Below are 13,628 nucleotides of genomic sequence, written 5' to 3' on the forward strand. Positions count from 1 at the left end.
GAATTTGAAAGAGGATTCATCTTATCCTAGTGTTTTGTGTCTTTAAAAAATGCTTGATGGGTATATGACAGTTTTAATAGGTGACAATTTTTGTGGGTGTTTCATGATGTTATTTATATATAAATTACATCTATATATAAATGTTACATACATATAAATGTTATGTGTGTGTGTGTATATATATATAAACATACGTATATAAATTTCTTAACATACAAAGAAAGAGAACAAGACAGTTTTCCATGAAGAGACTTCAGAGGTGAGCAGGACAGTTTCTGGGCTCTGTAGGCCTCGAGAGGGACCTCATGCCAGGAGGACTCTTCTGGGGTGGACAAGTGGGCCCTGAGCTCTGTAAGGGTCTTCACACCATGGGCAGGCACATTTAGCCAGGGAAACCTGCCCTCCAGCCTTCTTCATGCTGCTGCCTTGGCATTGCTGAGAGGCATGAGTGTTGCCAGCCTCTCCGCCAGGTGGTGAGTGTGGTCAGTGCTGGCCTGGCCTCACGCTGAATGGCTGCACTCGGGAGGTGTGTTCCCCCTGCCAGTTACCATAGAGCCAGGCTGCACAGGGACCAGAATGGAGTCCAGCTGTGCATTCCCTGAAAGCCAGTGTCCTTGAGTGCTCGGCCTTCAGTAGTTACACGAAAGCATTTATGATACAGGACTCAGAAGCTGACACATGGGGAGAAGACTTACATTTTCCATACATAGTTATTGCAGCCTGTTTCTTCCATCTCACTGATATTTGTTAATTAAGAATCATTCGTGAAGATAGTAATGCTTCCCTTTTTAAAAATAAATTTCATCTTTTTTTCCTGGTGCTGCATAAACATATATTAAATGTTGTTACTGATCCCTAGTACTGTTGATTTGTGACCCTTCTCCTGAGGGAGACTAAAGCTGCTTGAGCTAAAGGCTTTTGAGACATCCCATACGGTTCCCTGAACAAAGTTTTCTCTCCTGACCTCAGTTCTCTTGATGACCTTGGCAAGTGGGCCCGACTAGTTGGACACTAATGAGGCATCGTAACATGCCGGCCCCATCCTGTCCATTCTGTTCTCTTTGCCATCTAGCATTCAGTGTTGTGTCTTCCTAGTGGGCATGAAGACGGCTTTAAAACCATCCACTCGAGAAGCTTAATTAAGGTACCTTTAATGTTAGTTTGTATTCGAACATCTTTAAATGTAAGCTTTAATTTCAGCTCTTTTAGTACATACATATCTTTATTTAAAAGCCTTGTTAATGTGAACAGTTACACATTCTATATACCACACTGCTATATCCTAAGGAATGTTTGAAAGATTTTAAGATTTCCAGAGTAACCTAGGCACTCTTGTATTCTTTGTAATTGATTACAAGTTGAGAATTCCTTTTACTCTTATACTTTAAAAGTCGTATCTCAGTTGAATTCAAGTTGACTCTGGAGGGGAAGTGAACTCAGTGCTTCCTCCCCATCCCTAGAGTTCTGAATGCATGGGAACCGGGACTCAGGTTAGACACAGACAGGCAGATGCAGCAGACGAGAGGTGAGCCAAGGCAGGACACAGAGAGCCTGCTGTGCTGCCGGAGGTTTCACTTCCCATGTGGATCCAGAAAACTTGCTCTCTAAAATGCAGAACTGGGTCCTGGAGAACCATCGTGTTTATTATACTGATGAGCATACAAAGGAGTGTTCCTGATACTCAGCTGTCACAAAACTGGAAGGAAAGCTGGGCTCTCTAAGGCAAGGTTGACAAAAGTGTGACGGGGCTGTCAGAGGGCAATCCCTGGCCATGTGGACCCACGCCTGGGTGCGGGTCTCCTTGTCACTCAGTGGGCCAGCCGTGTGGTGTCTAGACCTGGGTGAGGGTCTTCTGTGTCTCTGTGTCTCAGCCATGTGGACTCTAGACCTGGGTGTGGGTCACCTGTGTCTCTGTGTCCTGGCTGTGTGGACTCTAGACCTTGGTTGGGGGTCTCCTTTGTAGTCTGTGCACCAGTTTTGGTCTAGGTTGTTTACATCCTGGGGCTCAGTTCACGGTCTTCATCAGTTTTCCTGCACTTGGTGCGTGGTTGGAGTTGTACGTGCAGTGCTCAGTGTCTGCCTTGCTATCATCGGGTCCAGCCCGGGAGCGCCTGCCCCAGGGAGCAGTGCACACTGGGGTTCTGTGGAAATTGGCTCCTGGAGGGCATCTGCGAGTTGGAGTGTGTTCCAGAGGCTGGTGTATGTGGCCCTGCCTGCTTTTGCTAACGGTATCTAGCAGGTTTTGGGTGTATAATTGAGAGTCAACAAATACATTGATTTGTTAATACCTCTGTCTCTCATTAGACACACATGAAATACATATTTACTTTTAGTAAGCATTTCACATCATTTTGATTTGATAACTTAAGGCCATTAATTGTTTTGTTAAAGTGGTCTAGGTTTTATATTTTGTGTTTTTAAATAATTTTCTATGAATCATCTTAATTAATTTGAATTTGTGAGGATTGGTTATCTGCAAATTAAACATATCAGTGGTTAGAAATAGCAACTAAAAGTATTGCAATAGGCCTATCATTTGAAATATTGAGTGGACTACTTGTTTGGAAGTGCTGGATTATGATTTCTGGTATAAACTAGAAATGTTTAAATAAAGGAGAGTATATTTTTCTACAAAATTTGACCTTGTTAGCATTCTTTGTCTTGCTTTGCAACATGGAAGTTGTTTGCTTAAAATACAACTGTAGTCAATTAGAAGGTGGTATAATTTTGCATGAAATTTTCTATATAGCCTGTAGCAAGGAAGGCACATAGTAACTAACAGAGTAATTATTATCCCACTCACATGAAATTGTGATTGAACAGAAGTTGGACATGATAGGGTTGGACTATAGAATGACTTGCAGACCATCCACATAGCAGCCTCTTTGAAGTAGGCTAAGTCTCGAGGGCCCTAGTCATGGGGTCTGTGGAGTGTAGGAGTAAATGTGGTCATATTTTATGCCTCCCTTTTTGGACCCAAAGCATCTGAATATTTAATATTAATTTTTACCTGTAGTCAATTTGAAGTGTGCAGTTATGGATCAGGCAAATGTAATCACTGGCTTTGAAGATTAAGTGCTCCTAAATCTTTTAAAATGTTGTCTTGGGATAAATGAAGTTAAATTTTTGATTTAATGATGAATACTGGACCACCATCATTTTTAGGGTCCTGTTAAGAACTGGTTTGTTGTTGTGGTTGTGGTTTTAATCTACCAACATGGTCCTGAACTCAGGTCTTTCTGATGTAGAAGTTTCTCCAGTTGGAGCGCGTTGTGAGGGAGGTGGATCTTGATTTTACACTGAAAATATGGGTTAAAGTTTTGGAATTCTTCTGTTTAAGTATTTCATTGAGTGAGAAATCTTTGTGACATTTATATTTGTCACATTCAGTCTCCTGTTATCTTATACGACACAAAATGAGTTTATCATACTTTGTTGCCCTCTCATGTCTCATTTCGCAATCCACAGTTAATCCCTTTCCTCTGTTTTGCCTTGTATACTCAGGTTTTACTCAGTCTTTTAGCCTATTGTACTTCATAAGTACATACCCTTTGTGAAAGAGAATGGAAAATGTCCCAAATATTTCTGCACTGATTCTAGTTACGTTAGATATTAAAAAGCATGACACTCAGAAAAATTCATTTAATCTAATTCTAGTAAGTGTTGATTTTTCATGAGAATCAAGTGAGAGAATACTTACGAGAGCCTTTAGCAAACTTTAACAGATTATACAAATATTGTACCAGGACCTCTGTTAAAAATGTATAACATATGCCTTGTTATGTATCACATTGAATTGAGGTACTGTGCATTGTAAGGCCACTCTAGAGTCCACTTTGCTCATCAGTCAACCTGCTTTCAGCTCAACGGTTTCTAGCTTGATTAATTCTTGCAAAGCCTTTTCTGAGATTTGCTCATTCTGCTAATGTTAAAAAATAAGTTAATTTTGCAGTTTGCCTTCTTACATCATTGTGATAATTTAACATTAGTGGGATGTTTATATTTTGATTTAAACTAGATTGGCAAAACAGAAAATACTGATCAGATGATATTTAATATTTAGCTTCACTGATGTGAAGTAATTCTATGATCTCCTTTTGAAAGCTTTTTATAGTATTGTATTATATATTTAATATTTCTCTGCGTAGTAAGTATAGTCATCTAATCTCAGAAGTTTATGTGGATAATAGTAATAAAGACGGCATTTGTGCATCGGGGAGCTTATATTCTAAGTGTGAGCTGGCCTTGCCTTTCATGAACTTTTACAAACTGAAGCCTCACACTTCTCAGTGACACTCAATTAAAAGAGAAATATATATAATCTCCACACATATCCCTGCTGGGGAATACTTCACATCTTCCACCTTCCTAGATTTTCTAGAGAGGAAGGTGTAAGCCATGTGATATGTATAATATGTAACATATCAAGGTTCACGAAAAGCCGGGAGTTCATATCAATCATCTTTACTTCAAAGAGCCTGTCTTATGATGCTCTGCATTTTACATGTTAAGTTAATGTGACATCAGAGTTTTCATATAATTATTATAGTTAATTCTGTAATGGTTGGTAATTGCACATTATGTGTATATACTTTCTCACCTTAATTGTGTTTCTCACCTTCAAAATTTACAAAAAATTAAGGATGAAAATTAGGAATATAAATTATATATGGCTGTAGTTTCAGAAAGAGATTTCCATGGTTTTTAATACTGACATTCTAGAGATAAGTGCCCTTTAGCCTTTGAAATCTATCGGTCATACCAAGGATATTTTATTATTCTTTTCTCTTAAATTTAAAAATTATTATATCTTTTTGACGTGTAAAAGAGAGTAATAGCTTCTAAATGCAAAGTCAAATACCGTTTTTTATAATATTTCTATTATTTTAATTGTACACATTTTGAAATATTAGCAAAGGCTGTCACTGATATTTAGTAATACTTTGATCTTTACAGTGGAAATACACTAAAAGAAAGTGGTTCATCTGGTACCATCTTTATTTGAAGGTCAAAGGACAAGTTTGATTAGTTAAGGATATAGCCTCTTAATTGACCTTCAGTGATAGAACCACCATTTTAGTAGACAGTAGTGAAAGGCCATTGTCATTATCTCTATTGTCAGTGAAAAGAATATTAGTACGTTTCCTAATGTTATATGTGGGTACATTTGTATTGCTTAACAAATCATTTGACTTTTTCAAAGTCCATTTTTAAAGTTGAGATTAGATTTTCTTGAATTAGCCAAATTAAATACACTGTTGGATAAATTTATATAAAATCAAATAGTGTGATAATACTTTCCATCAAAACAATTAATTAGAAAGTGTTATCTTTTACTCATCTTTAAAGTATTTCTACAAGGACCACTTTCATGTTTTTGCAGGTACTGTAATAGGTGTTGTCATTTATACCGGAAAAGAGACTCGAAGTGTAATGAACACATCCAATCCAAAAAATAAGGTAGGCTAGATTGAGGAGCAACTGCTTTAATGAACTTATTTTTCCTTTCAGTAAGAAAGTCTGCATAGTTCTGAATAGCTCATTCTTTTGGCTTAACATATATCTTAAAGTAGACTTTCAAAAATGTTGGTGACTTACAATATGAATTCTCCGTATTTATATAACAACATTCTCATACTGGCGAATTTCCAAAAGTATCATTGCTTGGCTAATCAGTTTTATATGTGTCTTAAATTTTCATTGTCAGATATATAATTTGCCCGTAATTTGACAGTTAATTGTGGCTAATTTCTTATCTTCAGTCTACTTATTTTACAATTTGCACTCTTTTATGTTGATGGTTCATTTTAAAATAAAGCAATCTGTATTAATGTTTTTATACTATTTAATTTGATGTTACAGTATTAAGCCAGTTTTATTTATTTCCATGTCAGAAGAAGCATATTGAAGCCAAAGATTAGTTTTAAAGACCGCTTGATTATATCCTGAATTGATTATATTTCTAAAATTGTTATTTATGCATCCAACATGTGTGTAAAATCATAACAAAAAGTCTGAATCCTCAGTAGTTGCTATCATCATGATACCATATGTGAGATGAATTCACAGTATGTGCTAATGTACAGTTAATGAGAAGCTCTTCCTAAGTATTGATTTTACTCATTTTTATTTAAAATGTAATTTATGTGCATTTAGATGAAACAAAAAATCCTCACATGGATTTATGCCTCACTCTGTGGGTAATTAATAGTGAAGGTTATCTTTTGCTGTCTTTTTCTGGAAGTCTTATTAACGCAGTGGAAATCAAATAATTCTTTGAAAAGATAGGCCAAGCGTGGTGGCTCACGCCTCTAATTACAGCACTTTGGGAGGCTGAGGCAGGTGGGTCACTTGGGGCCAGAAGTTTGAGACCAGCCTGGCCAACATGGTGAAACCCTGTCTCTACCAGAAATACAAAAATTAGCTGGGCATGATGACGGGTGCCTGTAGTCCCCACTACTCAGGAGGCTGAGGCAGGAGGATAGCTCAAACCCGGGAGGTGGCGGTTGCAGTGAGCCAAGATCGCACCATTGCACTCCAGCCTGGGCAACAGGGTGAGATTCTGTCTCAAAAAAAAAAAAAAAAAAGATATATTTGAGCAAGATGTATTCCATTTTTTCAGGTAAATGTTATTTTAAAAATGGTTAACTCTTCAAAAATTAGTAACATATCACCAACCCTATAAAGTCCTAGGCCGTTTGCAGCAGTAAGTAGAGTGAGGCCTTCTGTGTCGATTGTTTGCTTGTTCACTGGGGCATGCCTTGAGAACGCCCTTAGCTGTGCACACGGAGAATCCAGTGTGCATCTCCTGTACCTGATAGAACCCCAGATATCTGTGTGTTACATGTTTGCTAAAGTCAAAGAAGAATGCTGCGTTACTATTGAGTATAAATCCTAATTGTGATAATGGGGAAAGTTATCTCTTTAGACTTACATTGCAGTTTGACTCTAATTTGCATTTCAAATATATGCAAGTCAGTAGTTCTACAATAGTGTTACAATTATTTAAAAATAAATTATTAAAGTAATCATATATAGAGTTAGAATCACATACGTATTTATATGTGTTTTCTGATAAGTGCTATGTTATTTTTTTCATGTGAGCAAAACTAGAACATCTTTTTTTTTTGAGACGGAGTCTCACTGTGTCACCCAGGCTGGAGTACAGTGGTGCCATCTTGGCTCACTGCAGCCTCCAGCTCCTGGGTTCAAGCGATTCTCCTGCCTCAGCCTTGCGAGTAGCTGGGATTACAGATGAGCACCACCCCACCTGGCTAATTTTCATATTTTTAGTAGAGATGGGGTTTCACCATGTTGGCCAGGCTGGTTTCAAACTCCTGACCTCAAGTGATCTGCTCGCCTCAGCCTCCCAAAGTGCTAGGATTACAGGCGTGAGCCACCGCACCCGACCACAAAACTAGAACATTCTAATGTATGTACAGTTCTAGGATTTTTTTCCTAAATGTTACTTTTGCATTTATGATGATATTTGAGGGTAAATTAATTTTAAATATGAATTTAAAATCTTTAAAGCTACACTGCCTTTTACTGTGATTCCTTTTTTAGCCCACCTTTTTCTTCAGTTCAACTTATTTTCTGTCATTTTTTCATTTCAGTCTCCACTTTATTATTTCTTCCCATCTATACACCTGTTACTTTTGGCTCGTCAAGCTCTTTACTCAGGGTCTTGGTTCTGCGTTGGAGCGGCCTCCTAGTTTTGCAAGCATGGTTTGGAATGTAGCCCTGAAGCCTCGCTGCTGGGTCTGTGTCCAGGCCTTGGTGCACACTCGTGTGTCCCTCAGCCTCTTCACCCTCTCCACCCTCCCCTCTCTGAAGTGGGCTTGCCAGGAACAAGGTCATGCTCATGCACACGTTGCTCTTAGGAAAGTACTTGCTACATGACAGATGCTCAGTAAATGTTAGCTGTAATTTTTATTTTTCTATAAAAGGAAAGGTTTTCAGTGTGGTAATTTTTCAGCCCTACCCTGATTGCTAGTCAAGAAATGGTCATTTTGTAACTAGTTTGTGCAAGGCAGGAGGTTCTGTACTGTCAGCTACCACGTGGCCTAGAAATTCTTCCAGTTTCCGCTGTGTGGGCATTCCTTCTCTCCCTCTTCTTTTCTTTTCCCTGTTCCTCTCTTCCTCTTCTCCTTTCTTAAAAAATAGTCTTCTAAATTTGCTTATTGTTGGCAGAATATATCTCATAATTGAAAGGGTGTCTTTGGAGTTTTACAGAATTGGATTTACTTCTTGCTGCTTACCATGTTAGCTTTTCAACCTGATGTAAAAGTGTTCTTTCAGTGGCTGGTATTTTCCTGGTGATTAATACATGCTGAGTCCTCCCCTCCCAATAGGGATTCACGATAGCGGTTCTAGCTCCAGCTTGGAGAACATTGACCACATGGTAGGCACTTGTCTAAAACTCTACGTGTATTATGTCTTGAATCCACACGATGGCTCCCGGGGAGAAGAGTGCGTTCCCGACTGTAGAGCCGGGGAGATCACAAGGCATGGAGCCGTGACACGTCTCAAGACAAAGCGCTGCTGATAGTGAAGCTCCTGAGGACGTTTTCCTTAGATTTGGTATTTATTTCTTTGTTTGTTTATTTATTTATTTATTTTTTGAGACAGAGTCTTGCTGTGTTGCCCAGGCTGGAGTGCGGTGGCGCAATCTCGGCTCACTGCAAACTCCGCCTCCCGAGTTCACGCCATTCTCCTGCCTCAGCCTCCCAAGTAGCTGGGACTACAGGCGTCCACCGCCACGCCTGGCTAATTTTTTGTATTTTTATTAGAGACAGGGTTTCACCTTGTTAGCCAGGATTGTCTCATTCTCCTGACCTCGTGATCCGCCCGCCTCTGCCTCCCAAAGTGCTGGGATTACAGGCGTGAGCCACTGCGCCCCGCCAGATTTGGTATTTAAACATCCAATTAAGACATAACATAACAGGGAAATGAAATATATACTTAAATATTTCTGAGTGTTAAATGCTAGTTTTACAAGAATAAAATTCAGGAGAAGGTTTTGAGCAAGCTACACTGGGCGAAAGGTAACATGTAATTTATCCAGGGGAAGCCTCGGTATTGATACATGTTGAATGGAAGAGAATTGTGACATTGGTCTCTGAACAGAGACGGAAAGGTGGAAATTATTGTTTATTGCTGGTAAGACTGTTTTCTGACGGTGACATCACAGTGTTCTTCTGTTGCTTAGTAAACCAACAAACTTTTGGGCTTCAAAGAAGGCTGGTGCAAACAAAACGGTAAACATGTACAGGGGAAATCTCATCTCATCCTTTACCTGAGCTTTGTTGGATTTCTTCAGGTAGCAAAAATGTTTCTAACACTCAATTCTGACAGCTCTCTGAGTAGAAGCCATATTGGGACATTGATACATTGGAGTTCGTCGTCAGCAGAGAAATTGAGCTGCAAATACATATTTTTGAATGAGTAGTGGTTATCGGTCAGGATAGGCTGAGTCATGCTCTGATAATAAAGTGCCTCATACTCCGCAGTGGCTTCCCCAGCGTTGTGTTTCTCATGTTCCAGGTCCGGCCAGGCTGGCAGCTCCTGCTGGTCATGTTTTCCTCATGTTCTGTATCTGGCACAGGCTGGCAGCTCCTGCTTCTTGTCATGTTTTCCTCGTGTTCCATGTCCGGCACAGGCTGGCAGCTCCTGCTTCTTGTCATATTTTCCTCGTGTTCCGTGTCTGACGCAGGCTGGCAGCTCCTGCTGGTCATGTTTTCCTTGTGTTCCAGGTCTGGCCAGGCTGGCAGCTCCTGCTTCTTGTCATGTTTTCCTGGTGTTCCATGCCTGGCACAGGCTGGCAGCTCCTGCTTCTTGTCATGTTTTCCTTGTGTTCCTTGTCTCACGCAGGCTGGCAGCTCCTGCTGGTCATATTTTCCTCGTGTTCCGTGTCCGGCACAGGCTGGCAGCTCCTGTTTCTTGTCGTATTTTCCTTGTGTTCCTTGTCTGATGCAGGCTGGCAGCTCCTGTTGGTCATGTTTTCCTCGTGTTCCGGGTCCGGCACTGACTGGCAGCTCCTGCTTCTTGTCATATTTTCTTCGTATTCTGGGTCCAGCGCAGGCTGACAGCTCCTGTTGGTCATGGTCACTCAGGGCCTGTCTTGGAAACACATTTCCATGACCACTGGGATAAGAAAATACTGATGTGGCCAATTACATACTGACTGATTCTTAAGGCTTTGCGAGCGAGTGATATGGGTCACATTTCATTGGCCAGAACAATTAAAAGGCCTTGGCCAAGTTCAAGGAGTCAGGGAGTTGCACTTCTAGCTCGTGTGCAGAAGGAGGGAGAATTGGAAATACTTCATGAGCAGCAACAGCCACGAACAAGATTTCCCAGGGCTTTTACACAGTGTACGAAAAAGAGGAACCTTGCAGAACCCGGAAGAATACCAATATTTAAGGGATAAGGAGAGGAAGAGAAACCAGGATAAGAATAATGAATGAGGAAAGCATTTTAGGGAGTGGCCAGTAGTCAACAGTGTGCTGGGGACAGAGAAGATCATTTGGAGTGAAAAGTAGAAAAGAGGTTGGTAATTTTAGCAACGAGGAAATCTTGGTAAAATTAAAACTGACAGTACGTTTATTAGGGTGGGACTCAGGTGCAATCACAGCTGGAGGACTCTTCCAAGGGTTTGGGGGAAGGAGAGAGTGCTGTGTTGAGGGAGCCGGGTCCAGGGTGAGGGAGAGGGAATTCTGAGCATATTTACCAGGCAGCCCAGAGCATGGCGGTGGCAGTGCTGATGAGAAGTGGACTGATTGTGCTGTAAGGGAAGAGATTTTATTGATTTTGGTTTTTTTTTTATGGTGAGAAAAATCCATATCACAAACCTATTAATGTTTTTAGTAAAAGAATAGGGGGTCTTACAAATAAAAATATTAATCATATGGAAGAATAAGTTTAGTGGGCATCCAGTAGTAACTTAAACAGGATAAGATTACTGAAAAGAAAATCATATAGAATTACATGGCCACCACAGGAACTATGGCATTACTTCTTTCATTTGTAGAAAATATTTCAAGTCTATCAGTATGTCACTCTTTCTGTCTCCCTCCCCTCTTCTCTTTCTTTCTCCTCCCTCTCCTTCCGTCCTTTTTTCTCTTTATATTTATTTCCTTTCTTCATTACAGTGTGTATAGCAGGACCCTGACAATTCACAAAATTGCTTTACGTTCCTGAGGTTAAAAAATGCTTCAGTAAAATCTGATATAAGAAAGAAGTTAATCACAACAACACTTTCGGTAGTGAAATTGATGCAACATGGTAAGACTTTGAGACAGTTCTTGAAGGGCTCAAGAAGACGAGAGCCTAACAATTTAGGCTCATACATTGTTGGCAATGTGAAGGATCCAGCTGTTGTTGGGAATCTTAAATTTAAAATGGTGCCAGTAACCAGGATATGGCTGTTCTGAGGCTGATGTTCAGGAGCCCCAACGCAGAAGCAGAGATAGGCTGCTGGGCTGGTGCAGAGGTTTGCATGTGGACATGTAAGCAGAGAAGGCAGGGACAGCCGGTCGTGATGGTGGATGGCAGTGAGAGGGCTCCTTATGGACAAGGAGTTTTGGAAGCAAAGTAGTTATTGGTGGTAAGACTTCGAGTACAGTGATGAAAATGAGTTGTTGAAGTTTGGAGGCTGTTACAGACACTGGATTATCTAAAATTATAAGCTTTTATATAATATTTTGGAGAGCATCCTTTCCTTCTTACAAATATTTTCTGCCAGGTGCAGTGGCTCACTCCTGTAATCCTAACATTTAGGGAGGCTGAGGCGGCCGGATTTCTTGAGCCCAGGAGTTCGAGACCAGCCTGGGCAACATGGCAAAACCTGTCCCTACCAAAAAATACAAAGATTCCCTGGGCGTGGTGGCATGTGCCTGTAGTACCAGCTACTCAGGAGGCTGAGGTGGGTGGATCGCCTGAGCCTAGGAGTTTGAGGCTACACTGAGCCATGATTGCACCACTGCACTCCAGCCTGGGCAGCAGAGTGAGACCCTGTCTCATTAAGAAAAAATAGATTAATTAAAAAAAATACAGCCACTATTGTAGATTGTATGTCAAGGCAAATTGAGCATCATTTCACATTTTCTAGGTTTATCCAGTAATTGATCTTCTAGGGAGACAAGTCTTATATTCGGTTGCTTGTAGATCTCTTATGTAAATTCAATTTAATAAATACCACATTTATAGAGTTATCTTCTTTATTCCATGATGCAGCAGTAAGAAAGAAGAGAGTGCCCTTTTCTTTTCAGCTGGAGCTGTAGGATGTCACGCCCTCTTGCTGGGCCCTGCTGCCTCTGACTTGCTCTCTTCAGCCTTTGGGCCTCTTGTGCTTTTGCCTCAGTATCTGCAGCGTCCTCTCCCGTTGCCCTCTACTGTAGGTGTGGCCTAGACTAGGAAGTTCCTGGGATATAATTGCCTTAAAAATCATCCACATAATCCCTGCTACATAGAATGGTTAAGCAATTGACATTTTCCAATGTGTTGCTGTTCCCTGACTCTAGCAGAGGGTGTAAAGCCCATAAGACTGTGTGGCCGAGACCAGGCCTTGAGTCCTTGGTACCTGTTGTTAACCATGTGCAAGTCCCAGTGCTCCCTGTTGGTCTTCAGCCCCTGATGGGCCCTCACCACCTCCACCACCGACTACCCCCGAGTCATCCCAGCCCCACCAGAGGCTTCATGTCCTCCTGCAGGACATGAAGGAGCATCCTCAGCTCCTGGAAGAGCGCCAGCCTCCTGCAGCCATCTGCTTCCACAGATTCAGCTGATAAGGAGGACTTGCCCCATCTCAGCTGCAGGTTCATTGAGGAACAGTGTGTGTTAGTACTTTCAAAACTATCAGGCTGGGCACAGTGGCTCGTGCCTGTAATCCCAGCACTTTGGAGCTCAAGGCAGGCAGATCACTTGAGCCCAGGAGTTCGAGGCCAGCCTGGGCAACATGGCAAAATGCCCTCTTTACAAAAAATACAAAAATTAGCCGGGCGTGGTGGCGTGTGCCTGTATTCCCAGCTACGCAAGAGGCTGACGTGGGAGGATCACCTGAGCCCAGGAGGCATAGCTTGCAGTGAGCTGAGATTATGCCACTGCACTGCAGCCTGGGTTACAGAGCCAGACCCTGTCTCAGAACAAACAAACAAAACTCCACCTATCCTCCCAGAGTTAAGTTGATGTATGTTAGGTATTTAACTAGTTTTATTAATTGCATTATAAAGGCTTTTTTTTTTTTTAAACTTCTAGTTCTCCTCAGCTAACATCCCCAAACTTCTTTGGCCAATTTTTTTTTTTTTTTTGCCTTTATTTTGGCCAATTTTGTTCTTTTTTAGCTGCTTTAAAAAAAAAAAAAGAAAGAAAAACTTATGAAAAATTTTAAACATACAGAAAACTAAGGAGAAAAGCATAACTCATATCCCTAGACCCTGAGTTCAACAGACATTTCCCACTTGCCTATCCTGTAGTTACAGGTACCATGCTGCATTATCCTAAATATGTACTTTTTCCAAAAAATAATTTATATTTATCTCTTAGTCTTTATCTTTTATTTTTTTAGACAGGCAGAGACCACCAGCCTGCCCAATATGGTGAAACCCCGTCTCTACTAAAAATGCAAA

The 13,628-nt window shown here is 40.8% G+C and overlaps 1 protein-coding gene across 36 annotated transcripts in view; it reads left to right on the forward strand.

Annotated features, from left to right (window-relative positions):
* ATP9B (ATPase phospholipid transporting 9B (putative)) overlaps window positions 1-13,628 on the forward strand; it is a 308,890-nt gene that overhangs the window by 139,185 nt on the left and 156,077 nt on the right. For 35 of the 36 annotated variants that reach the window (NR_148360.2, XM_017025726.2, XM_011525963.3 and 32 more), the window contains one exon: window positions 5,384-5,460. The exons of the other annotated variant lie outside the window; for it this stretch is intronic. Coding sequence is in view for 34 of the 35 variants with exons in the window: in XM_017025726.2 (XP_016881215.1) it covers window positions 5,384-5,460 (77 nt within the window). In the remaining variant the exon portion in view is untranslated. The remainder of the gene's footprint in view (window positions 1-5,383; window positions 5,461-13,628) is intronic. 36 annotated transcript variants of the gene reach the window in all.

The sequence above is a fragment of the Homo sapiens genome, chromosome 18, assembly GCF_000001405.40.
Source record: "Homo sapiens chromosome 18, GRCh38.p14 Primary Assembly".
In the NCBI taxonomy this organism is placed as follows: Eukaryota; Metazoa; Chordata; class Mammalia; order Primates; family Hominidae; genus Homo; species Homo sapiens.